This window comes from Homo sapiens, chromosome 14 (assembly GCF_000001405.40).
Source record: "Homo sapiens chromosome 14, GRCh38.p14 Primary Assembly".
NCBI lineage: Eukaryota > Metazoa > Chordata > Mammalia > Primates > Hominidae > Homo > Homo sapiens.
This window is the reverse complement of record NC_000014.9, coordinates 22,721,676-22,744,586: the sequence shown is the minus strand read 5'-3', so window position 1 is coordinate 22,744,586 and position 22,911 is coordinate 22,721,676. Positions and strand designations below refer to the sequence as shown.

General features: G+C 45.2%; 1 long non-coding RNA gene and 1 pseudogene across 1 annotated transcript in view, besides 1 other annotated feature; both read left to right on the top strand.

Moving 5' to 3' along the window:
- The window catches only part of OXA1L-DT (OXA1L divergent transcript), a 62,343-nt gene that overhangs the window by 21,976 nt on the left and 17,456 nt on the right, over window positions 1–22,911 (top strand). The window lies entirely within an intron of this gene.
- Window positions 7,160–7,329: an enhancer, noted in NCBI's record as "active region_8138". NCBI's record gives its function as "activates an Ori minimal core promoter by ATAC-STARR-seq in GM12878 lymphoblastoid cells {active_cell/tissue: GM12878}" and the evidence as "EXISTENCE:reporter gene assay evidence [ECO:0000049][PMID:35858748]".
- LOC100421646 (von Willebrand factor A domain containing 5B2 pseudogene) lies at window positions 17,904–21,111 on the top strand (annotated as a pseudogene).

Here is a 22,911-nt window from a genome sequence, read left to right as displayed (position 1 = left end):
CATTAAAGAATTTAGGGACAAATAGGCATGATGTTTGCCACTTAATAGTCTCAAAGTGTTCAGGAAAAATGTATACACATATATCTGCAGAGAGAGAATGACAAAATATGGGACAAATGTAAACAATTAATGAATCTAGAGAAAGAGTATACAGGAATGCTTTGTATGATTCTTCAACTTCTCTGTAAATTTGAAATTATATCAAAATAAAAAGTTACCAAATAAGCCCAATTCTTAATTTTTTGGGGAGGGTTAATTTTTTTAAGTAAATTATTTTTAAAAGTATAATATGTATACAGAAGAGTGCACACACCAAAAGTGTACAGCTTGATACAGTTTATGAAACGAACCCCCCACGTAATCACAATCCAGGATTTCAAACACAAAACTTCCATGTTCTCTACTCAGATTTCCCAGTTGTTAACATTTTGCCATATTTCTCTCTCTCTCTAACGTATATGATGATTCTTTTTCCAAACCATTGAAGAACAAGTTGCAAACACGATGATCCAACCCTTAAATACTACAGTGAATTTCCCCTGAACAAGGACATTTTTCCTGTATGATACAACTATCCCAATTCAGGAAGTCAACATTGATATAACGCTACTACACAATTAACAGACCCTGTTCAAATTTTGCCAACTGTTCCATTCTCTCTTTGTAGTCTAGAATGTGATCCAGTATCACATTGCATTACTTGTTGTGTCTTTTTAGTCTTCTTCCATCTAGAATTGTTTCTTAATGTTTCCTTGTCTTTCATGACCTTTACAGTTTAAACAGTATATTCTATTTCATTCTCTAAGTACTCTCAGTTGGGGTTTGTCTGATGCTTTCTCTTGTCCATACTCAGGTCATGAATTTTTGGCAGGAGTGGCCCCCAAAATAATACTAAGCTGGCTGGGTGTGGTGGCTCACGCCTGTAATCCCAGCACTTTGGGAGGTCAAGGCGGGTGGATCACCTGAGGTTGGGAGATCGAGACCAGCCTGACCAACATGGAGAAACCCCATCTCTACTGAAAATACAAAATTAGCTGGGCATGGTGGTGTATGCCTGTAATCCCAGCTACTTGGGAGGCTGAGGCAGGAGAATCACTTGAACCTGGGAGGCAAAGGTTGCGGTGAGCCGAGATTGCGCCATTGCACTCCAGCCTGGGTAACAAGAGTGAAACTCCGTCTCAAAAAAAAAAAGAAAAGAAAAGAAAAGAAAAAGAAAAACTTTTCCTTCTTCCTTAATCATTCATTCATTCATTCATTCATTTATTCATGTCAATGTGAACTCATGGATTCTTATGTTAGTCAATAGATTAGGATCTGTTATCATCATTTATTACAATGCTCAGATTGTCCCAGTTTTGGTCAGTGAAAACCCTCTCAAAGCTGAGTCCCATTTCCTTTGGATATATCTCCATCATTCTTTGAATACTTCCTTATTTTCTGCTATTATAGAGTATTCCAAACTCAACTTATACCCCAGCACTGGAATCTGTCATTTCTCCAAGGATTCCTGGCTCCTTTTAGTGGAGGATGGTATTTAGAAACCAAGATCTGGGTGCTTAGTAGGCTCATTGGAACTAGGGTTCACATGCACACATTGATTATCTATATCTATCTAATCATCATCTAGCAAATATAAATTCACACCAGTATCTCCAATTCCAATCCAATATCTCAATTTTTTTCTAGCTTTCTTCCATTCCATGTGGGAGAAGGTCACTCCATTTTTCTTGACCCTCTCAGCTTCTCAGTCCCATCTCTGGTGACACCTCCTTTGCCAGCATCTTCTTTGGTTCTCTGCCTCCCTGTGGCTGCCTCTTTGGTGGGCATTCTGCCTCCTTCATGGGATAGGCAGGAAGGGCAGGGAAGAGGGAAGAGGAAGAGCCATTCTGATATCCCCCTAGCTCTTTTTTTTTCTTTTAAATGGAGACGGGGTTTCACCATGTTGTCCAGGCTGGTCTTGAACATCCAAGCTCAGGCCGTCTGCCAGCCTCTGCCTCCCAAAGTGTTAGGATTACAGGCATGAGCCACTGCACCAGGCCTTCCCTGACTCTTTAGTTAGAACCCAACACTTTTCAGGAATTGATACACACTGAGAGTTTGACACCTCAAGATATTCCAGTGTGATGGGTTGTTTTATGACTTAAAGTGACTAATATTTGCAAGATGAGTTAGTGTTTAGTGAGAATAGGGGAAAGGAGTAGACAGAGGGGAGAAAATAATGGAAAGGGATAAATAATCTCCCTTCTAGTTGGGGATGGACAGAACTCAACTCTAGTCTTAGTTTTATAGGGGCAATGATTCTCACCAGTGCTCATGCCCCAGAGCATGCGCTTGCCATAGAAAGGCTGGGTTGGTTGGAGTGGGGATGGAAAGTAGGTTTTCAGATCCATCAAGGAGAGAATGCACATTTTAGAATGGCTGTGGAATCAACTTGGCCTTTCCAGATGACCTGTGGTCAGGCTAGACTTTTTAGGACCTTTATTCTCTTTTTTTCTTTTTCTTTTCTTTTTTTCTTTCTTTCTTTCTTCCTTCCTTCCTTCCTTTCTCCTTCTTTCTTTCTCTCTCTCTCTCTCTTTCTTTCTTTCTTTCTTTCTTTCTTTCTTTCTTTCTTTCCTTTCTTTGTTTCTTTCCCTTCCTTCCTTCCTTCCTTCCTTCCTTCCTTCCTTCCTTCCTTCCTTCCTTCCTTCCTTCCTTCCTTTCTCTCTCTCTCTCTTTCTTTCTTTGTCTCTTTCTTTCTTTCTCTCTCTTTATCTCTTTCTCCTTTCTTTCTTTCTTTTTTTGACAGAGTCTCACTCTGTAGCCCAGGCTGGAATGCAGTGGTGTGATCTCAGCTTACTGCAGCCTCCGCCTCCCGGATTCAAGCGATTCTCCTGTGTCTGCCCGCCAAGTAGCTGGATTACAGGTGCCCGCCACCACGCCCGGCTAATTTTTGTATTTTTAGTAGAGATGAGGTTTCACCGTGTTGGCCAGGCTGGTCTCTAACTCCTGACCTCAAGTGATTCACCCCCCTCAGCCTCCCAAAGTGCTGGGATTACAGGCGTCAGCCACCACGCCCGGCGTTTAGGTTCCTTTAAAGTCATAACCAGGACTCTGTCCCCAGGTTGGAAGTCAAAATGGTCTTTGTAGGGCAGGGGAACACCCTGCCATCATTCCTCAGCTCTAATCTAATCTAATAACTTCTATTGCCCTGTTAATTTGTTAATAAACTTCCAGAACTCCTTGACAGACCAACTGTTCTTTATATTTTGTCTAGTAAACTAGAAGGGGTAGGAGATTGATAACCTGGGATCAAACTCACAAGAGTTAGGTGACACTTGTCTGTTATAAAGTTACACTTTGGCTCATATCTGTAAATAGGGAACAGCAATGAGCAAATTCAAGAATTAATGTTCGGCCAGGCACGGTGGCTCACGGCTGTAATCCCAGCACTTTGGGAGGCTGAGGCGGGCGGATCACGAGGTCAGGAGATCAAGACTATCCTGGCTAACACGGTGAAACCCCGTCTCTGCTAAAATACAAAAAATTAGCCGGGCGTGGTGGCGGGCACCTGTAGTCCCAGCTACTTGGGAGGCTGAGGCAGGAGAATGGCGTGAACCCGGGAGGCGGAGCTTGCAGTGAGCCAAGATCGCACCACTGCACTCTAGCCTGGGCGACAGAGCGAGACTCCATCTCAAAAAAAAAAAAAAGAATTAATGTTCAATGTATTGATTTGTTTGATATAGTCATTACTAGCAGTCTCTAAAACATAGTTATCTGAATTTCTAACAGTGGGTACAATTGCCCAGGCCTTGTATATCTGGCTGTGTAAGACAGTGGCTAACAGTGAGGATTGTCTCAGACAGTCAAGGTTTGCATCCTGATGACTAAGGATATACTTACCAGATATGTGTCATTAGGCACAACATTTTCCTCACCTGTGAAATCTGTAAGTATCACATCAGGCTGTTTTGAGGTTTAAGTGAGATAACACAAAGTTTTTTTGTTTATGTAGGTCATAGTTTTATTATTACTAATAATATTGGCATTATTTTTCTGAAACAAATATACATCAGATAAAATGAGTAACTTTGTCAATGTCACTAGGACCAATATTTTCATCATAAGTGATTATAGTCTTAGGGAAATTGCCTAAAAGTGAAATGGCTGGGTCAGGAGGTCTGCACATTTTAAGGCTTTTTTTTCCCATTCCTAGACTGCGCTCCTGAGGATCACACTAGCTGTTGGAGAGCATCAGTTTTCTGAATTCTCTACAACATAGTTATTACTATTTTGCCAGTTTTATGTGTTGAGATGAACGTTGTTCTTATTTTAAAAAAACAGGAACTGAGGCTGAAGAAGGCTATGAATGATAGAGTGGACAGCAGTGCATGAGGACAGCTGGGCCAACTCTTCAATATCACACCTTCATTACTCATTCTCACTAGAAGGCCATATTCCTCCCAAGTAAAATGGGTGTCAGTTTACCTAGATTATATGTTAATTTGTTCCTTTTTATGGCTGAGGAGCATTCCATAGTATGGGTCTTCCACCATACGCTTATCTATTCACTAGTTGATGGACATGTGGGCTGTTTCTAGTTTTTGGCTATCATTAATAAAGCTGCATACAAGTCTTTGAGTAGATCTCTATTTTCATTTTCTTTGGGTACACATCTAAAAAGGGATTTGATGGTTTGTATGGTAAGTATATGTTAAACTTTATAAGAGAAGGTTAGAGTATTTTCTAAAGTGATTATATCATTTTGCACTCCCACTAGCAATGTATGAGAGTTCCAGTCACACATAGACTCTGAGATGGAGCAAAGACCCCTCTTGGGGGCCTGCCAGGGATGACCTTCCCCACAAAGCATGGAAATAAAGAAAAATCTTGAATTCCTTCAAGGGAAATTCCAGGCACCTAGCTAGCCTTGAGAAGTAAATGAACAACTTGATAAGCAAGAAGGGAATGGTAGCTTAAAACAATAGCCAAGGAAGTTGAAGTCACAGGATGTTTGGTTTCCTTTAGAAACTGAAGATAACATCTTAACATATATCCCTGAGTTGTTTTTCAGAAACCCAGACCTCCATCAAATGGCTCCTCTGGCACGCAGACCTCAGATAAGGGGGAAACTGAGGAATGAATGCTGGCCACCATTCTTTGTTATAAATTTCTTCCTGAAGGGTGTGGAGGGAGCATGCCCATAAACCAGAGCTAACATTCTTTTCTGCTGATCCTAAATTTTTTACAAAGTTTTCCCTCCTTAACCAATTGCAAATCAGAAAAATCTTTGAATTCACCTGTGGCCTGTGAGCCCCGATTTGAGATGTCCTGTATGGCCTCCATGTATTGATTTATGATTTTTTTTTTTGAGACAGAGTCTCACTCTGTCACCCAGGCTGGAGTGCAGTGGCACAATCTTGGCTCACTGCAACCTCTGCCTCCCTGGTTCAAGTGATTCTCCTGCCTCAGCCTTCCAAATAGCTGGGGATTACAGGCGCCTGCCACCACACCTGGCTAATTTTTGTACTTTTAGTAGAGATGGGGTTTTTTCACGTTGGCCAGGGTGGTCTTGAACTCCTGACCTCAGGTGATCTACCTGCCTCGGCATTCCAAAGTGCTGGGATTACAAGTGTGAGCCACAGCACCTGGCCCAATTTATGATTTTTGCCCATAACCGCTGTTTCCTTGCCTTAAAAAACCATTAACTGTAAGCCACTGGGGAGGTTGGGTCTTAAGTGTGAGCTGCCTGATTCTCCTTGTTGGGTGCCCTGCAAATAAATGCCCTCCTTTCTCCCACTGCAAAAAACTTGGTGTGGATGTTTGACTTTACTGTGCTGGGTGAGCGAACCCAAGTTCAGTTTGATAACTCTTTATAGGATCTCTCACATACATAGACTCTACTTTTCCTACCATTAATGGATTTTGAAAGGGCCTTTTTTTTTTTTTTTTTTTTTTTACCGTGAAACTCCAGAAAAAGTTTTGTAATTGCCCAACAGGTTTCTCCTGCCTACTATACAGACAAAACCAATTCACAGAGACCATGGCGTTGCAGTAAAGAAAGAGTTTAATTAAAACTTGGCTAGGCATGTGGAAAACAGAATTATTACTGAAATCAGCCTCCCTGAGAACTCAGAGGCTAGGGTTTTTGTAGATAATTTGGTGAGCAGGGGCTAAGGAGTGGGTGCTGCTGACTGGTTGGGGATAAAATCATAGGAATGCAGAAAACAATCCTTGTGTGCTGAATCTACCTCTGGGTCAGGGCTGCAGGATCAGTTGAGTCATGAGATAGAATACAAAAGTCTGGAAAACATCTTAAAAGACCAATCTTAGGTCCTAGCATCACTATTACATTGTAATTTTTTTTTTTTTCAGATGGAGTTTCACTCTTGTTGCCCAGGCTGGAGTGCAGTCATGCGATCTCAGCTCACTGCAACCTCCACCTCCCGGGTTCAAGCGATTCCCCTGCCTCAGCCTTCCGAGTAGCTGGGATTACAAGCATGTGCCACCACACCCGGCTAATTTTGTATTTTTAGTAGAGATGGGGTTTCTCCATGTTGGTCAGGCTAGTGTGGAACTCCCAACCTCAGGTGATTTGCCTGCCTTGGCCTCCCAAAGTGCTGGGATTACAGGCGTGAGCCACTGCGCCTGGCCTTTTTTTTTCTTTTGAGACAGAGTCTCACTCTGTTGCCAGGCTGGAGTGCAGTGGCAAGATCTCCGCTCACTGCAACCTCTGCCTCTTGGGTTCAAGCGATTCCCCTGCCTCAGCCTCCAGAGTAGCTGGGACGATAGGCACACACCATCACACCCAGCTAATTTTTGTATTTTTAGTAGAGACGGGGTTTCACCATGTTGGCCAGGATGGTCTCGATCTCTTGACCTCATGATCCTCCCACCTCAGCCTCCCAAAGTGTTGGGATTACAGGCGTGAGCCACCACCTATATTGTCCGGCCTATATTGTATGGTTATGGGGCAGTTGGGGAAATCACAAATATTGTGACCTCTGGCAACATGACTCCTGAGCAGTAAGTGGTTATAGAAACTATGTTTACATCCTTAGCAGAATTCAGGCTCCTCCCATAATCCTAATCTCATGGCCTATCATTCATTTTTAGTCCCTGAGCAAGGAAGGAGGGGGTTAGTGTTAGGTAAGGATTATTATCATTCTTGCCTGCAAGTTAAACTATAAATTGAATTCCTCCCATGGTTAGTTTGGCCACACCCAGGCATGAGTGAGGACAGTCAGCCTGTGAGGCTTAGAAGCAAGATGGAGTCAGTCATGGAGGCAGTCATGGAGGCCTGGAGGCATGATTAGAAGCAGTCATGGAGGCAGTCATGACAGCCATTTCTCCCACTGTCATAATCCTTGCAGAGGCAGTTTCAGTTTCAGAATCTGTTTCAGTTACTCATTCAAAGAGTTAGTATAACAGATTCCACTGCTAGAAAACTGCTGGGTGTGGTGTCAGAGCCCTGGCATCAGCATTGGGCAGTGATGGACTTGCAGGTTGGTAAGAAGAATCTACCGACTATAGTATAGGTTTGAAAAAGGAAAGTTTTGGGCCGGGTACGGTGGCTCATGCCTGTAATCCCAGCACTTTGGGAGGCTGAGGTGGGTGGATCACCTGAGGTCAGGAGTTCAAGACTGGCCTGGCCAACATAGTAAATCCCCATCTCTACAAAAATACAAAAATTAGCTGGGCGTGTTGGCATGCACCTGTAATCCCAGCTGCTTGGGAGACTGAGGCAGGAGAATCACTTGAACCCTGTAGGCGGAGGTTGCAGTAAACCAAGACCATGCCATTGCACTCCAGGCTGGGAGAGTGAGACTCCGTCTCACAAAAAAAAAAAAAAAGAAAAAGGAACGTTTTATTAGAAAGAAAGAATGCTACAGAAGATGGCAGTGGCACACTAGAGGAGTGAAAACGCCAGTGGATTTTTCCTTAGGGTATTTATGGACCTTAATGCAGGAGCTGAAGGGAAATTTGCACAATAAATGATTACATTTACAGATATTTTGGTGCCTTAATGTCAGCAAGGGTTGCACAATGAGTTTCAACATGCATGCATTCTGGAGATGTATAGAAATTCTAGTTACTGGCCGGGCGCGGTGGCTCACGCCTGTAATCCTAGCACTTTGGGAGGCCGAGACGGGCGGATCACGAGGTCAGGAGATCGAGACCATCTTGGCTAACACGGTGAAACCCCGTTTCTACTAAAAATACAAAAAATTAGCCGGGCGTGTTGGCGGGCGCCTGTAGTCCCAGCTACTTGGGAGGCTGAGGCAGGAGAATGGCATGAACCTGGGAGGCGGAGCTTGCAGTGAGCCGAGATCGCGCCACTGCACTCCAACCTGGGAGACACAGCGAGACTCCGTCTCAAAAAAAAAAAAAAAAAAAAAGAAATTCTAGTTACTTACAAATTTTAAGTTGAGAAAAGGCCTGGAACCAGATGCCTTTAGATAAGAGGGAAGTTTAATTACTTCTAAATTCCTCAGATAAGGAGTTTTTGTCTCCAGGGCCTGCTAGATGGTCACCAGGTGATTTGCTGTTTTCATTTTTTCCCTGACAGACATTTTGGTCAAATCTTTGGCCCTTTATGTTCCCTCATGATCATGGCTACCTGCTGCCTATTGGGGTCTCAAGAGAGGGAAAATGGCACAGTGAAGAGGGGTGACAAGTACGTCTGGCTATTTCCTGCTGAAAAGGGGTGTTAAGGGTTTCGGTTGAGTTTTTCCCTTTCTTGCTCTCTGTCATGAAGGGAATGAAGGGTCATGAAAGACTTGTGGGGAAGACTGAATTCCATCAAGAGACCCCATGTGAATGGAAGTTGCTGTTGCAGGCTGGTATTGGGATTGCATAGCCATCTGTAGGTGGAATTGTTTTAATATCAAAGATGTAAACTTAACGAGAGCATTAAAAAGGCAGGGACCAAATATTAAAAGAATGACAAGGAATAAAGGTCCAGAATGGGAGAAGCCAAGTGATTTTTGGAGAGCAATCAGTAAAGGTTCTGGCCCAGTCTTGGCTACTTTGGGAAGGTGTGTGTAGCCACTTGGCTTATTAAAAAATTTTTTGGACATTGGAAGTTCCACTTCTCCATACACATTAATGTAGGTGCAACAGGTTTTGTTGATGACAGCACAGACTCCTCCTTGTTCAGCTATTAGATAATCCAGAGCTCATCTGTTATCAAACACCATTCCTGCTAGCGAGTCTAAAGACTTTTCTATTGCTGATAGACTTGCACCAGTTTTTGCTAAGGCTATTTCAAGGGAGACAGTATGTCCTTGTAGTGTGATTTCATGGTAAGCAAAACCCCCTCAAGGGGTGAGTGTTGCAATCGTTCCCACAACTCCAGCCATAATAAGTCCTAGGGCTCCCTTTCTTCTAGAATGGAATTCTGAATTGGAAGTTATATTCAAGACAGTGATTTGGATGGGAACTATTGTTCTCAGAGTGCAATCACCATAATGAAGAGAATTATCAAGGTGGGATAGGGCCAAAGCTTGAAAAGAGTTTAAATAATTATTGGCAGTGCCACAAAGCCCTAAGAGCCCAGGAGGAGCAGGTAATATAGTTGGAGGCTTTTTGGACTAAGAGGGCCACTGCAGCTTTTTTTTTTTCCCTCCCCATATGGAGTTTTTGTCTGTTGCCCAGGCTGGAGTGCAATGGCACAATCTCGGCTCACTGCAACCTCCGCCTCCCAGGTTCAAGCAATTCTCCTGCCTCAGCCCCCCGAGTAGCTGGGATTACAGGTGCACACCACACCCAGCTAATTTTTATATATTTTTTTAGTAGAGACGGGGTTTCACCATGTTGGCCAGGCTGGTCTCGAACTCCTGACCTTGTGATCCTCCCACCTCAGTCTCCCAAAGTGCTGGGATTATAGGCGAGAGCCACCGTGCTTGGACCACTGCTATTTTTAAGTAGGGGTGCCATCCCTGGGGTACCAAGTCTAAAGTTTTTGAAAAATATTCTGTAGGGCACTTAGAGGGCTCCAGATCTTGGTCTAAGACTTCCAAAGCGATTCCCTTTTGTTTGTGTACATACAAAAAGAAAGGCTTAGTCAGATCTGGTAAGGCTAGGGCTGGGGCTGAGATTAAAGCCTGTTTAAAAGTGTTTAGAGCATGTTTCATATCATTAGTCCATGTTAGAGGCTGTTCCTCAGTTCCCTTGAAAGCTTCATATAAAGATTTTGCTATTAATCTGAAGGAAGGAATCCATATTAAACCTGACTCTACCCAGAAAGGACCAAAGCTGTTGTTTATTTACTAGAGTTGTCATGTTTAAGATCTTTACGAGCACTAGAGAGGCTCTTTGTACCAAGGGTTAAGATAAGACCCCAAAATTGAACTCTTTGTGTGGGTGTTTTGGCCTTAGAAGAAGATAATTTGTATTCACAATCAGCAAGTTTGTTTAGTACTAATACTGTATTTTGGTCTGAAACAGCCTCGTTAGGACTACAGATTAGTAGGTCATCCACATACTGGAGCAGATTGCTATATGGGAGAAGCTGCAGGGTGGACAAGTCCCTAGCTAGAGCCTGTCCAAAAAGGTGGAGGCTATCTCTGAATCCCTGGGGCAGAACTGCATGAGTTAATGGTTGAGTTATTTGTGTATGTGGATATTGCCATTCAAAAGTGAACGAAATTTGGCTATCTTGGTGTACAGGAATGCAAAAAAGTCATCCTTAAGATCAAGTATGATAAACCAAGCTGTGGTGGTGGGAGTTTGTCCAAAAAGTGTGTAAGAATTTGGGACAATAGGATGAATAGAAATTACAGCTTCATCAGTGATTCTAGGGGCTGGGTGTGGTGGCCCATGCCTGTAATCCCAGCACTTTGGGAGGCTGAGGCAGGCGGATCACCTGAGGTCAGGAGTTTGAGACCAGCCTGACCAACATGGAGAAACCCCTTCTCTACTAAAAATACAAAATTAGCCAGGCGTGGTGGCGCATGCCTGTAATCCCAGCTACTCGAGAGGCTGAGGCAGAAGAATCTCTTGAACCTGGGAGGCGGAGGTTGCGGTGAGCCGAGATCAAGCCATTGCCCTCCAGCCTGGGCAACAAGAGCGAAACTCCGTCTCAAAAATAGTAATAGTAATAATAATAATAATTATAATAATAATAATAATTCTAGGCCAGGGGCAGTGACTCACCCCTCTAAGCCCAGCACTTAGGGAGGCCGAGGAGGGCAGATCACAAGGTCAGGAGATCAAGATCATCCTGGCCAACATGGTGAAACCCCATCTCTACTAAAAATACAAAAATTAGCTGGGTGTCAGTGGCCCACACCTGTAATCCCAGCTACTCAGGAGGCTGAGGCAGGAGAATCGCTTAAACTCGGCAGGTGGAGGTTGCAGTGAGCCAAGATCACGTCACTGGACTCCAGCCTGGGTGGCAGAGCAAGACTCTGTCTCAAAAAAAAAAAAAAAACAACAAAAAAAACCCAGAGCAACTTGGTAGGACTAAAAAGGAGTGGGTAAAGAAATAGCCTTCCATTTTTCAAGGGAGTGGCTGTGTGAAACAGCCTCATTGGGGTTTTTCGTCAATGCCCGTGAGGAATATGGAGGACTGGCACATTTGGTCAACATTTGAAGCTGAACCCTGTATCTATGAGGAACATTATTTCTTGTTCAGCCACAGCTGGATTGACTGAGGCTCCTCCATAGAGTTGGAAAAGGTAAGGGCCTGGATGGCCTCAAGGCCCCATCAGTCATCTAGGGGATGACTTTCAGAGGCTCGATCATAATCCAGGAATAGAGTTAGAGGTGCTTGTGCTTGCCCTTGCCCTTGTCCTCTTTCTGCAGGACCCCCTTGTTGGGTAGGTTGGTGAGGTTGTGGCTGCGACGGCCCAGAAGGAGGAGGTGGCCCCTCCTCATGAGGGAGAGAAGGACACTCGCTGTTCCAATGACCCTCTTGTTTACAATGAGGACAGGATCCTGGGGGCAGCTTTGTAACCTGGAGGTTTGGAATGTTCTCTACGCCAATATCCTGGATTTCTGCAGTGATGACAGGCCCCCATTCTGTTAGTATTATAGGGACATGCCTTGGGGTTATTAACTAACGAAAAAGAACGTGTCAATGCTGTGTTACCACATAATTAGCTTGGCGATGGCATTGTTCTTCCTCCAATTGAGTCTTTTTTATTTTTGAGGTTTCCTCCCAGTTATTGAAAACCTTAAAGGCTGTATTTAATAAAGTCGGAAAGGGAATCTGTGGGCCTTGCTCTAATTTTTGGAGTTTTTGTCTGATGTCTGGGGAAGCCTGACTTATAAAATGTATGGCCAGAGTGAACTGGCCCTCAGGGCTTTCAGGATCTAAATTTGTATATTTATGTATGGCCTCCACCAGTCTAATTTGGAAAAGGGTGGGGTTCTCAGATGGCTGCTGGGTAATTTCCGGTAATTTAGAAAAATTGGCCCGGTGCAGTGGCTCACGCCTGTAATTCCAGGACTTTAGGAGGCTGAGACAGGTGGATCATGAGGTCAGGAGTTCAAGACCAGCTTGGCCAAGATGGTGAAACCCCGTCTCTATTAAAAATACAAAAAAATTAGCCGGGCGTGGTGGCATGCACCTGTAATGCCAGCTATTCTGGAGGCTGAGGCAGAGAATTGCTTAAACCCAGGAGGTGGAGGTTGCAGTGAGCCGAGGTTGCGCCACTGCACTCCAGCCTGGGCGACAGAGTGAGACTCCATCTCAAAAAAAAAAAAAAAAAAAGAAAAGAAAAAGAAAAAAGAAAAATTAATAGGTTTTATTACAGGCTTTTTCATTCCTTCCAACAAGCAAGCTATCATGTAATCCCGCCTCTGTTTGGGCTGGCATCAGCAGCCTGATATTGCCAGCTGGTTTCTGTGTTGTGGTCACCTATTGCCCTGGCTCTATTACCATTAATTATGAGCATGAGCTTCATCTGCCCAAAAACTCAAGCTAAAGACCATATGCATGATTTTTCTTTGTGGGAACAACAAGTAGTTAATACCACATACATGTCTTGCCAGGTTAAATCAAAGGCAATAGTCAAAAGCCCACAATTCTTTAATGAGCTTAAAGGGATCCTGGCTAAATGAACCCAACTTGGATTAAATTTGTGAAAGGGACATGACTTGAATTGTTCCCAAGTTTCCATTTGTCACCTCATGGAAAGGCAAAACATTATTGGGATATTCTGAGGACTCTGTACTAGTGGCATATGTGACTCCCATGAGAGTATGTGAGGGGGATGAAGTGTCTGGATATGGAGGGGCGTTGACTCGGGGATGGAGCAAATGGAGAGGGTATAGGTGAAGCAGGTGCAGGCTGAGGAGAGTGTGACAGGCAAAAGGAAAGATCATCTACGACATCAGAATTGGTGAGAGAGTGGGAGGCAGAGGTTGCAGTGAGCCGAGATTGTGCCACTGCACTCCAGACTCGGTCTCAAAAAAAAAAAAAAAAAAGAATTGGGGAGAGAGGAAGTTCCTTGGAAGCATGTGTGACAATTTTTATGTAATTTTGGGTTTTGGGATAAAGCCAAAAAGACCTGAACATATGGGACCTCTAAATACAAAAGAAAATTACACACTTCTTTTTGAGAGTTTGTGGGTTAAAATGGGATGAATTTTTAAGAATGCAACCCAAGGGTGAATTGGAATGAATTGAAGAATGAATTGCACCCGTGTTGGGTTTAGATAAGGGACTAGAAGATCCCCGAGGCATCCCTGAGGGATTTGGACCTTCCTTTTCCCTTTGGCTCACTCTACTTGGGGGCATCCCACCACGGATAGAGGGCCTGCCCTTGCCTGGAGGACCAGTCCAGGCATGCCCTTGTTTGAGTGGTCAGCTCCAACCTAATGTGAAGGAGAACTCACCCATAACTTGGGATGCAGTGCTTGTGATGAAATTGAATCCAAAATTAGGTCTGCAACTAGTAGCATGTGTCTGCGCAGAGTTGAGTTGAAATCGTTGCTGCTTGTTTCCAAGGCACAATTTACAGAGTGTTAAAGTAAAAGTGGGCTTGCCACCCTGATGAGCAATAGCAAATTCACTCTTTTGTCTTGGCTTTAGGTAACACCAGGGAGTGCCCTCGGTCAGACACCCTCAATTGCCAAAGCGTACTCAAGCTGGTTCACTGGCAGTCTGAAAATAGAAAAGAACCCTGGCTATTCCCTCACCCCTCTGGGCAATGACGGACAGGTATCCCTTCTCTAGGGCTTCAGGATCCCACCAAAGAGTGGCCTCAGCCTATTAGGGGCGGCAAATATCTGAGTTACCGACAGTGAATCCATATGGGTCTGCAGCAACTTCAATTCTTGCCTCCTCAGAAGAAAGAATTTGACTGAGGGGCATAAGCAGAAAAAAGAGACCACGGCAAGTTTCAGAGCAGGAGTGGAAGTTTATTAAAAAGCTTTAGAGCAGGAAAGAAAAGACAGTACACTTGGAAAAGACCCAAGAGGGGACCGTGGAGGTCAAGTGTGGTGTTTGACCTTTTGACTTGGGATTTTATATGTTGGCATACTTCTGGGGTCTTGTGGCCCTTTTCTCCTGATTCTTCCCTTGGGGTGACCTGCCCATATGCATGGTGCTTTCCTTGTGCTTGAGAAGTAAGCATGGCCAGTGTATTTAAGAAGTTGTAGGCCAGGTGCGGTGGCTCACACCTGTAATCCCAGCACTTTGGGAGGCCGAGGTGGGTGGATCACCTGAGGTTAGGAGTTCGAGACCAGCCTGGCCAACAGGGTGAAACCCCATCTCTACTAAAAATACAAAATTAGCTGGGCGTGGTGGTGGGGGCCTGTAATCCCAGCTACTGGGGCCGAGGTAGGAGAATTACTTGAACCCGGGAGGTGGAGGTTGCAGTGAGCCAAGATTGCACTGTTGCATTCCAGGCTGGGCAAAAAAAGCGAAACTCCATCTAAAAAAAAAAAAAGTTCTAGGCCGGGTATGGTGGCTCATGCCTGTAATCCCAGGACTTTGGGAGGCCAAGGTGGGTGGATCATGAGGTCAGGAGTTCGAGACCAGCCTGGCCAACATAGTGAAACCCTGTCTCTACTAAAAATACAAAAGTTAGCTGGGCATGGTGGCGCACGCCTGTAGTCCCAGCTACTGGGGAGGCTGAGGCAGGAGAATCGCTTGAACCTGGGAGGTGGAGGTTGCAATGAGCCGAGATTGCACCACTGCACTCCAGCCTGGACAACAGGGTAAGACTCCCTCTCAAAAACAAAACAAAACAAAAAAACAACAAACAAAAAACAAAACAAAAAGAAGCTGTAGGCATGCTCACCTGAGACTTTCTTCCCTTTTCTGGTGGAATGCCCCTGGAAGGTCATACTCTGCCATTTTGTCTCTTAACCCATGTATGCCTGAGGTTGCAATTTTTTGAATTTTTGCAATCAGACCTTCGTGATGACATTGAGCAGTAGGATATAAATAACTCCCACATGCTTAGAGTTCCAATAATGGAACACTAGGCATTAATGGGTTTTACTGTGCATGCTCATGCCCACTCACTCACTACCTGAGATTTTATTGGAAGCTGCTGATTTCAAGTGTTTTTTGGTTTGTTTTGTTTTTTTAGATGGAGCCTCACTCCATCGCCCAGGCTGGAGTGCAGTGGTGTGATCTTGGCTTGGCTCACTGCAACCTCCACCTCCCGGATTCAAGCCATTCTCCTGCCTCAGCCTCCTGAGTAGCTGGGATTACAGGTGTCTGCCACCACGCTCAGCTAATTTTTGAATTTTTTTTCTTTTTTTTTTGAGATGGAGTCTTGCTCTGTCGCCCAGGCTGGAGTGCAATGGCATGATCTCGGCTCACGGCAACCTCTGCCTCGTGGGTTCAAGTGATTCTCCTGCTTCAGCCTCCTGAGTAGCTGGGATCACAGGCACGTGCCACCACACCCAGCTAATTTTTCTATTTTTAGTAGAGACAGGGTTTCACCATGTTGGCCAGGCTGGTCTCGAACTTCTGACCTCAAGTGATCCACCCGCCTCAGCTTCCCAAAGTGCTGGGATTACAGGTGTGAGCCACCATGCCTGGCTAATTTTTCTATTTTTGGTAGAGACAAGGTTTCACCATGTTGGCCAGGCTGGTTTCGAACTCCTGACCTCAGGCAATCCACCCACCTTGGCTTCCTAAAGTGCTGGGATTATAGGCACGAGCCACCGCGCCCAGCCGCATTTTTATCTGTTGGGAAATTGCCTCTCCCTGGTGCTGTGACCAATTATCATTTTAGTGTGACAGCTGTCAGACCATAATCTGATGGTGGCCTGACATTTCTGGTGGGTGGGGGAAACTCTCTCCTGCCCTGCTCATGCCTGACTAGCCACCTATTGTAGAAACCTGCCATTGCAAAATTGTAACTGAGATAATGAAAGAGATTTGACCTAGCCAGCTCCATCTTGCTTTTAACCTCAAAGCTGTCCTTGTTCATTCCTGGGGGTATGCTGAACTAACTTTGAGAGTAACTTAGTTTATAGTTTTTTGTTTGTTTGTTTGTTTGTTTGTTTTGAGACAGAGTCTCGCTCTGTCGCCCAGGCTGGAGTGCAGTGGTGTGATCTCGGCTCACTGCAACCTCTGCCTCCCGAGTTCAAGCAGTTCTTCTGCCTCAGCCTTCTGAATAGCTGGGACTACAGGAACCCACCACCACGCCCGGCTAATTTTTGTATTTTTAATAGAGACGGGGTTTCACCATATTGGCCAGGCTGGTCTCGAACTCCTGACCTCATGATGCGCCTGCCTCCTCCCCACAAAGTGGTGGGATTACAGGTGTGAGCCACCGGGACTGGCCTTAGTTTATCGTTTAAAACAAAGACAATAACAGCCCGTTTCCAAAACAATCATCCTTCTTGCCTGGAGACTAGACTGCCTTTGTAGGACTAACAAATTAGTCACAAGATTAGAAATTATGGCTTAGGAGTCATGCAGCTAGAGGCTACAAGATTCTGACCTCCCAAAATGCTCCTAAGATCAGTGCTTGAGATATTTTGCAGACCCTGCACTTGACAGATCAACTGGCACCATCCAGATTGATTAACTGGCTCATCTGGCAGTCTCATGTGGCCCCCACCCAGGAACTGACTCAATGCAAGAGGACAGCTTCAATTCACTATGATTGCATCTCCTACCTGGCCAATTAGCACTCCTGGCTCACTGGCTTCCCTCCATCCACGAAGTTGTCCTTAAAAAATCTGCTCCCAGAGAGACTGATGTGAGTAATAATAGAACTCCAGTCTCCTGCACAGCTGGCTCTGTGTAAATTACTCTTTCTCTATTGCAGTTCCTCTCTTGATAAATCGGCTCTGTTGAGGCAGCAGGCAAGCTGAACCCATTGGGTGGTTACACTGTAACAGACAGGGACCTTCAGTTCCCAAGAATAAAGAACCAAACAGGCCAGGCGCGGTGGCTCACACCTGTAATCCCCGGACTTTGGGAGGCCGAGGCAAGCAGGTCACGAGGTCAGGAGTCTGAGACCAGCCTGACCAACACAGTGAAACCCCATCTCTACTAAAAATATAAAAATTAGCCAGACGTGGTGGCACACGCCTGTAATCCCAGCTACTGGGGAGACTTGTATCCAGCAAATATTTATTTACCACCTGTTGTGTGCCAGACATTATGCAGAGTTTACTATTAAGTTTAGCTAGAGAGATAAGTGGGTAAATCTATAATGATAATACCATGAAACAACCAGTGATGAGCACAAGGACATGTATTATGGGTGATTAGAGTTAGGGTGATTAACTCTGCCTGAGGTAGTCAGGAAAGTAAGAGCCATATCTGGAAGAATAAGCAGGAGGCAGCCCTGCAGAGTGAGAAGACATTAATGAAAACACAGAGACAAGCAACAACTACAAGTGGGAATAGGGAGTGGAGTGGGATGACGCTGGGAGGGGCCCAGGGCCAGAGAGGTCATTGTAGGCCATAAGGAACTTGGCCTTCTTGCTCAAGGTGGTGAGCAGGCAGCCAAGGTTTCAGACAAGGGGCATGGGCCAGCTGCGCATGCGTGTATGATTGTCAAGGGCTCTGCATTCCTTAATCATTGACCCCCCCAACCCTATCTCACAAGCATGTGGGGGCTTTGAGTACTGAGATGCTGGACTGTCGGCACAGAGTGGCTCTGGCTGGCTGAAGCCTCTCATACCCTCCAGGCCAGGCGAACCCAGTCCCCAGCTAACCCCGGCACCCCTCTCTGGGCTCAGCAGCAGATGGGCCAGACCTTGAGCCAGGCCAACAATTGGAACAGGGCCTGGATGATTCAAGTAAGGTTTGAATGGGGAGCTGGTTTCCCTGACACCAAGGAGGCCCTGGGGAGGTGAAGTCCAGAGTACTACACTGCCCATGCCCCTGCTGTCTTCCCCAACAGGAAACCTGCTCCCCTCAACCCCCATGGACTGGGAGATGCTGATGGAACCACTCCTCTTATTCATGGCTGTGACTCCCAATGGGGAGTCAGCCCCTCCAGCAGTGCCACTGCCTCCCCAGGCTCCACACTGCCATGTGGTGATGTGGGTCCTGTGTGGGGAGCAGCCCATGTGTTGGGAGGAGGATGTTGTGCTGGAGACACCGTGGGGGAGTGGAGATGGCTCACAGCCTGCATCAGCTCCTATAAGAGAAGCTGCTTGGGACCAAGTACTCTACCAGCTGACAGCAGCCTCTGTGGACTGGGATAATGAGCAGCTAACTCTCCGAGGAAGGGCAGAGACCACAGCTGACCAGGGTGAATTGCTTGTGGGTCCAGTCAGGGCCCAAGGGCATGAGCAAAAAGTGGCAGAGGTATAGGTCTGTGTGTTTGATCACTCTCTATACCTTGTCTTGATCACAAAAGATTTATTTTTTTATCTGCCTCAACTATCAATAACTAAAATAATTGTGTGAAATATTCTACTATGATGATGGTTTTAGAAATATTTCCTTTTCATCATGTTAATCCTTGCTTTATATTTTTTGCAGCTATGTTATTCAGTGCTGGAACTTTATGTCATTAAGCAATGTGGGGAAAAGCAAGAGAGATCAGATTGTTGCTGTGTCTGTGTAGAAAGAAGTAGACATAGGAGACTCCATTTTGTTCTGTACTAAGAAAAATTCTTCTGCCTTGAGGTTCTGTTAATCTATGACCTTACCCCCAACCCCGTGCTCTCTGAAACATGTGCTGTGTCACCTCAGGGTTAAATGGATTAAGGGCGGTGCAAGATGCGCTTTGTTAAACAGATGCTTGAAGGCAGCATGCTGGTTAAGAGTCATCACCACTCCCTAATCTCAAGTACCCAGGGACACAAACACTGTGGAAGGCCGCAGGGACCGCTGCCTAGGAAAGCCAGGTATTGTCCAAGGTTTCTCCCCATGTGATAGTCTGAAATATGGCCTCATGGGAAGGGAAAGACCTGATCGTCCCCCAGCCCGACACCCATAAAGGGTCTGTGCTGAGGAGGATTAGTATAAGAGGAAGGCATGCCTCTTGCAGTTGAGACAAGAGGAAGGCATCTGTCTCCTGCTGGTCCCTGGGCAATGGAATGTCTCGGTATAAAACCCGATTGTACGTTCCATCTACTGAGATAGGGAAAAGCCGCCTTAGGGCTGGAGGTGGGACATGCGGGCAGCAATACTGCTTTGTAAAGCATTGAGATATTTATATGTATGCATATCTAAAAGCACAGCACTTGATTCTTTACCTTGTCTATGATGCAAAGACCTTTGTTCACGTGTTTGTCTGCTGACCCTCTCCCCACTATTGTCTTGTGACTGTGACACATCCCCCTCTCGGAGAAACACCCACTAATGATCAATAAATACTAAGGGAACTCAGAGGCTGGCGGGATCCTCCATATGCTGAACGCTGGTTCCCTGGGTCCCCTTATTTCTTTCTCTATACTTTGTCTCTGTGTCTTTTTCTTTTCCAAGTCTCTCGTTCCACCTAACGAGAAACACCCACAGGTGTGGAGGGGCAACCCACCCCTTCAAGCAATGATCCTCCTCATCTTCATAATGCTATTTTTGGCTTTAAAGTCTATTTTACCTAATATTAATAAACGTATGCCGATTTTTTTAGTTAACGTTTTTCTAGTATATATTTTTTCATCCTTTTACCTCCTATAAATAGCTTATAGTTTAGTTTTGAGTTAAAAATTTCATTCTAGGGCCAGGAGGCGTGGTGGCTCACACCTGTTATCCCAGCACAAAGGATTCAAGGCTTACCACATTGACAAGATAAAAAATTAAGCAGGGCAATGGGAAAAAGTAAAAATAAAAGGAAGCTGAGAATGAGGTTATATTAAAGGCGCATGCCATGAGGCTATATACTCTTGCAACCATAGGATCCAAAACTGACAAGCTTCCTAGCAGCCAGCACAGAGAGAAATGTGATCTTGTAATGATTCACAGCACCCATAACATAAAAACAAATCTTTGTCATTTAGGAAAAGACATTACAATTAAATAAAGTTAAAATTTCATTTCCTCAGTTGCACTAGCCACACTTGAGGTACCCAACAGTCACATGTGACTAGGGGCTACCACATTGGATCATGCAGACATAGAACATTTCCATCCTCACAGAAATTTCTATTAGTACAGAAATGGGTGGAGGAAAAGGTGCCAGTAAATGCTTCCTCTTTGTGTTGTCCAGAGTGCTGAATTTCTGGGTGGCCAGGGGGACCTTGCTCTGCTATGGGTTGAAGATTCAGCCTGACCGCTTCTTGTCAAAGTTGGCTCTGGGCCTAGCAAGGCAATCTACTCTGTTCAAAAGTGGATAGAGGGAGAAGCTGGGAGGAACATTACAATTTTTTCTATGAGCCCTCTGTAGAGGGTGGATGATGGGGGTTCCACAGGCTGCTCCTTGGTTTCACAGCCCGTGCCCAGGGGTGCTGGCTTCAAGCCCTTCAGACAAGCAAGATCAGCTCTGCCCCTCCTGCTTCACTTGCCCTGTAGCTGTGGAAGCTACCACTAGGGAGGTCCTGCCTGGGGCCCTGCAGGTGTGGAGCTCAGGTAGGAGCCCTATTCTGGTAACCTCTCAGTAAGGTAACCTCTTACCTTACTGGCCACCCTCCTGGACAATCCTGACTCCTATCCCCTGTTCCCCTGCAGAGCCAGCTGAGCCCCCAGGAACCCCTCCTGCCTCTCACAGCCATCTAGATGCAGCTTCTCTGCCCACAATTGTCCCCTCTAAAGGTAGCACCCAAAGTTAGGGAAAGATTAGGCGGCAACTGGGCTTAGAGACCACCTGCTGTCACTGATTGTCCCCACTGCTGGCTAATTTTTAAAAATTGTTTTAGAGACAGGTTCCTGCTATGTTGCTCAGGCTGGTCTCAAACTCCTGGCCCTAAGTGATCCTCATTCCTCATCCTCTTTTTTTTTTTTTTTTTTGAGAGGGAGTATCGCTCTGTCACCCACGCTAGAGTGCAGTAACACAATCTCGGCTCACTGCAACCTCTGCCTCCCAGGTTCAAGCAATTCTCCTGCCTCAGCCTCCCAAGTAGCTGGGATTACAGGTATATGCCACCACACCTGGCTAATTTTTTAATATTTTTGATAGAGACGGGGTTTCACCATGTTGGCCAGGATGGTCTCAATTTCTTGACCTCACAATCCACCTGCCTCGGCCTCCCAAAGTGCTGGGATTACAGGCGTGAGCCACCATGCTCAGCCTTCCTCATCCTCTTGAGTAGCTGGAATTACAGGTGTGAGCCACTGCACTTAGCTCCTAAACTGACATAGTTTGGATATGTCCCTGCCCAAATCTCATGTTCAATTGTAGTCTCCAGTGTTGGAGGTGGGGCCTGATAGGAGGTGATTGGATCATGGGGGCAGTTTCTCACGGTTTAACACCATCTCCCTTGGTGCTGTCATCACAATAGTGAGTTCTCATGAGATCTGATTGTTTGAAAGTGTGTGGCACCTCCCCCTGCCCTCGGTCCTGCTCCTGCCATGCAAGATGCCTGCTCCTCCTTTGCCTTCCACCATGAATCAAAGCTCCCTGAGGCCTTCCTAGAAGCAGATGCTGCCATGCTTCCTGTACAGCTTGTGGAACTGTGAGCCAATTAAACCTATTTTCTTTATAAATTACCCAGTCTCTGGAATTTCTTTATAGCAGTATGAGAATGGACTAACAAATAAACATTTTAATTTTCTAACTATTTTTTGCTGATATATAAAACAAAGCTTTTTTTTGTGGACTGAACTTGTATCAATTGAAATTATTAATTCCAAGAGCATATCAGTGGTGATAATAATAGCATTATTTCTTCCATTCTCAATACTTAGTCCTTTAATTTCTTTTTCTTGCTATAATGCATTGGATAGCAACTGTAGTACAGTAGAAGTGGGTGATAGCATGGTGATTTATTCCTGATCTCAGAAGGTAATCTTTCAACATTTTACGACAAAGTATGATGTTTGCTATAGGTTTCTATAGTTGCTCTTTAATAGATTACAAATATTTCTTTAACTTAAGAGTGTGATAAAGAGTTATTTCTTTTTTTTATTTTTATTTTTAGAGATGGGGTCTTGCTCTATTTCCCAGGCTGGAGAGAAGTGGCTATTCACAGGCTAGATCTTAGTGAAATACAGCCTTGGACTCCTGGACTCAAGTGATCATGCTGCCTCAGCCTCCCTAGTAGCTAGGACTACAGGTGCAAACCACTGCACCAGCAAAGAACTATTTTTTTTTTTTTGAGATGGAGTCTCACTCTCTCACCAGGCTGGACTGCAGTGGCACAGTCTTGGCTCACTGCAACCTCCAACTCCCAGGTTCAAGCAATTCTCCTGCCTCAGCCTCCCGAGTAGCTGGGACTACAGGTGCATGTCACCATGCCCAGCTAATTTTTGTATTTGTAGTAGAGACAGGGTTTCACCATGTTGGCCAGGATGGTCTCGATCTCCTGACCTCATGATCCACCTGCCTCAGCCTCCCATAGTGCTGGGATTACAGGCGTGAGCCACCATGCCTGCAAGATGCATTATTTTTTTTGTGT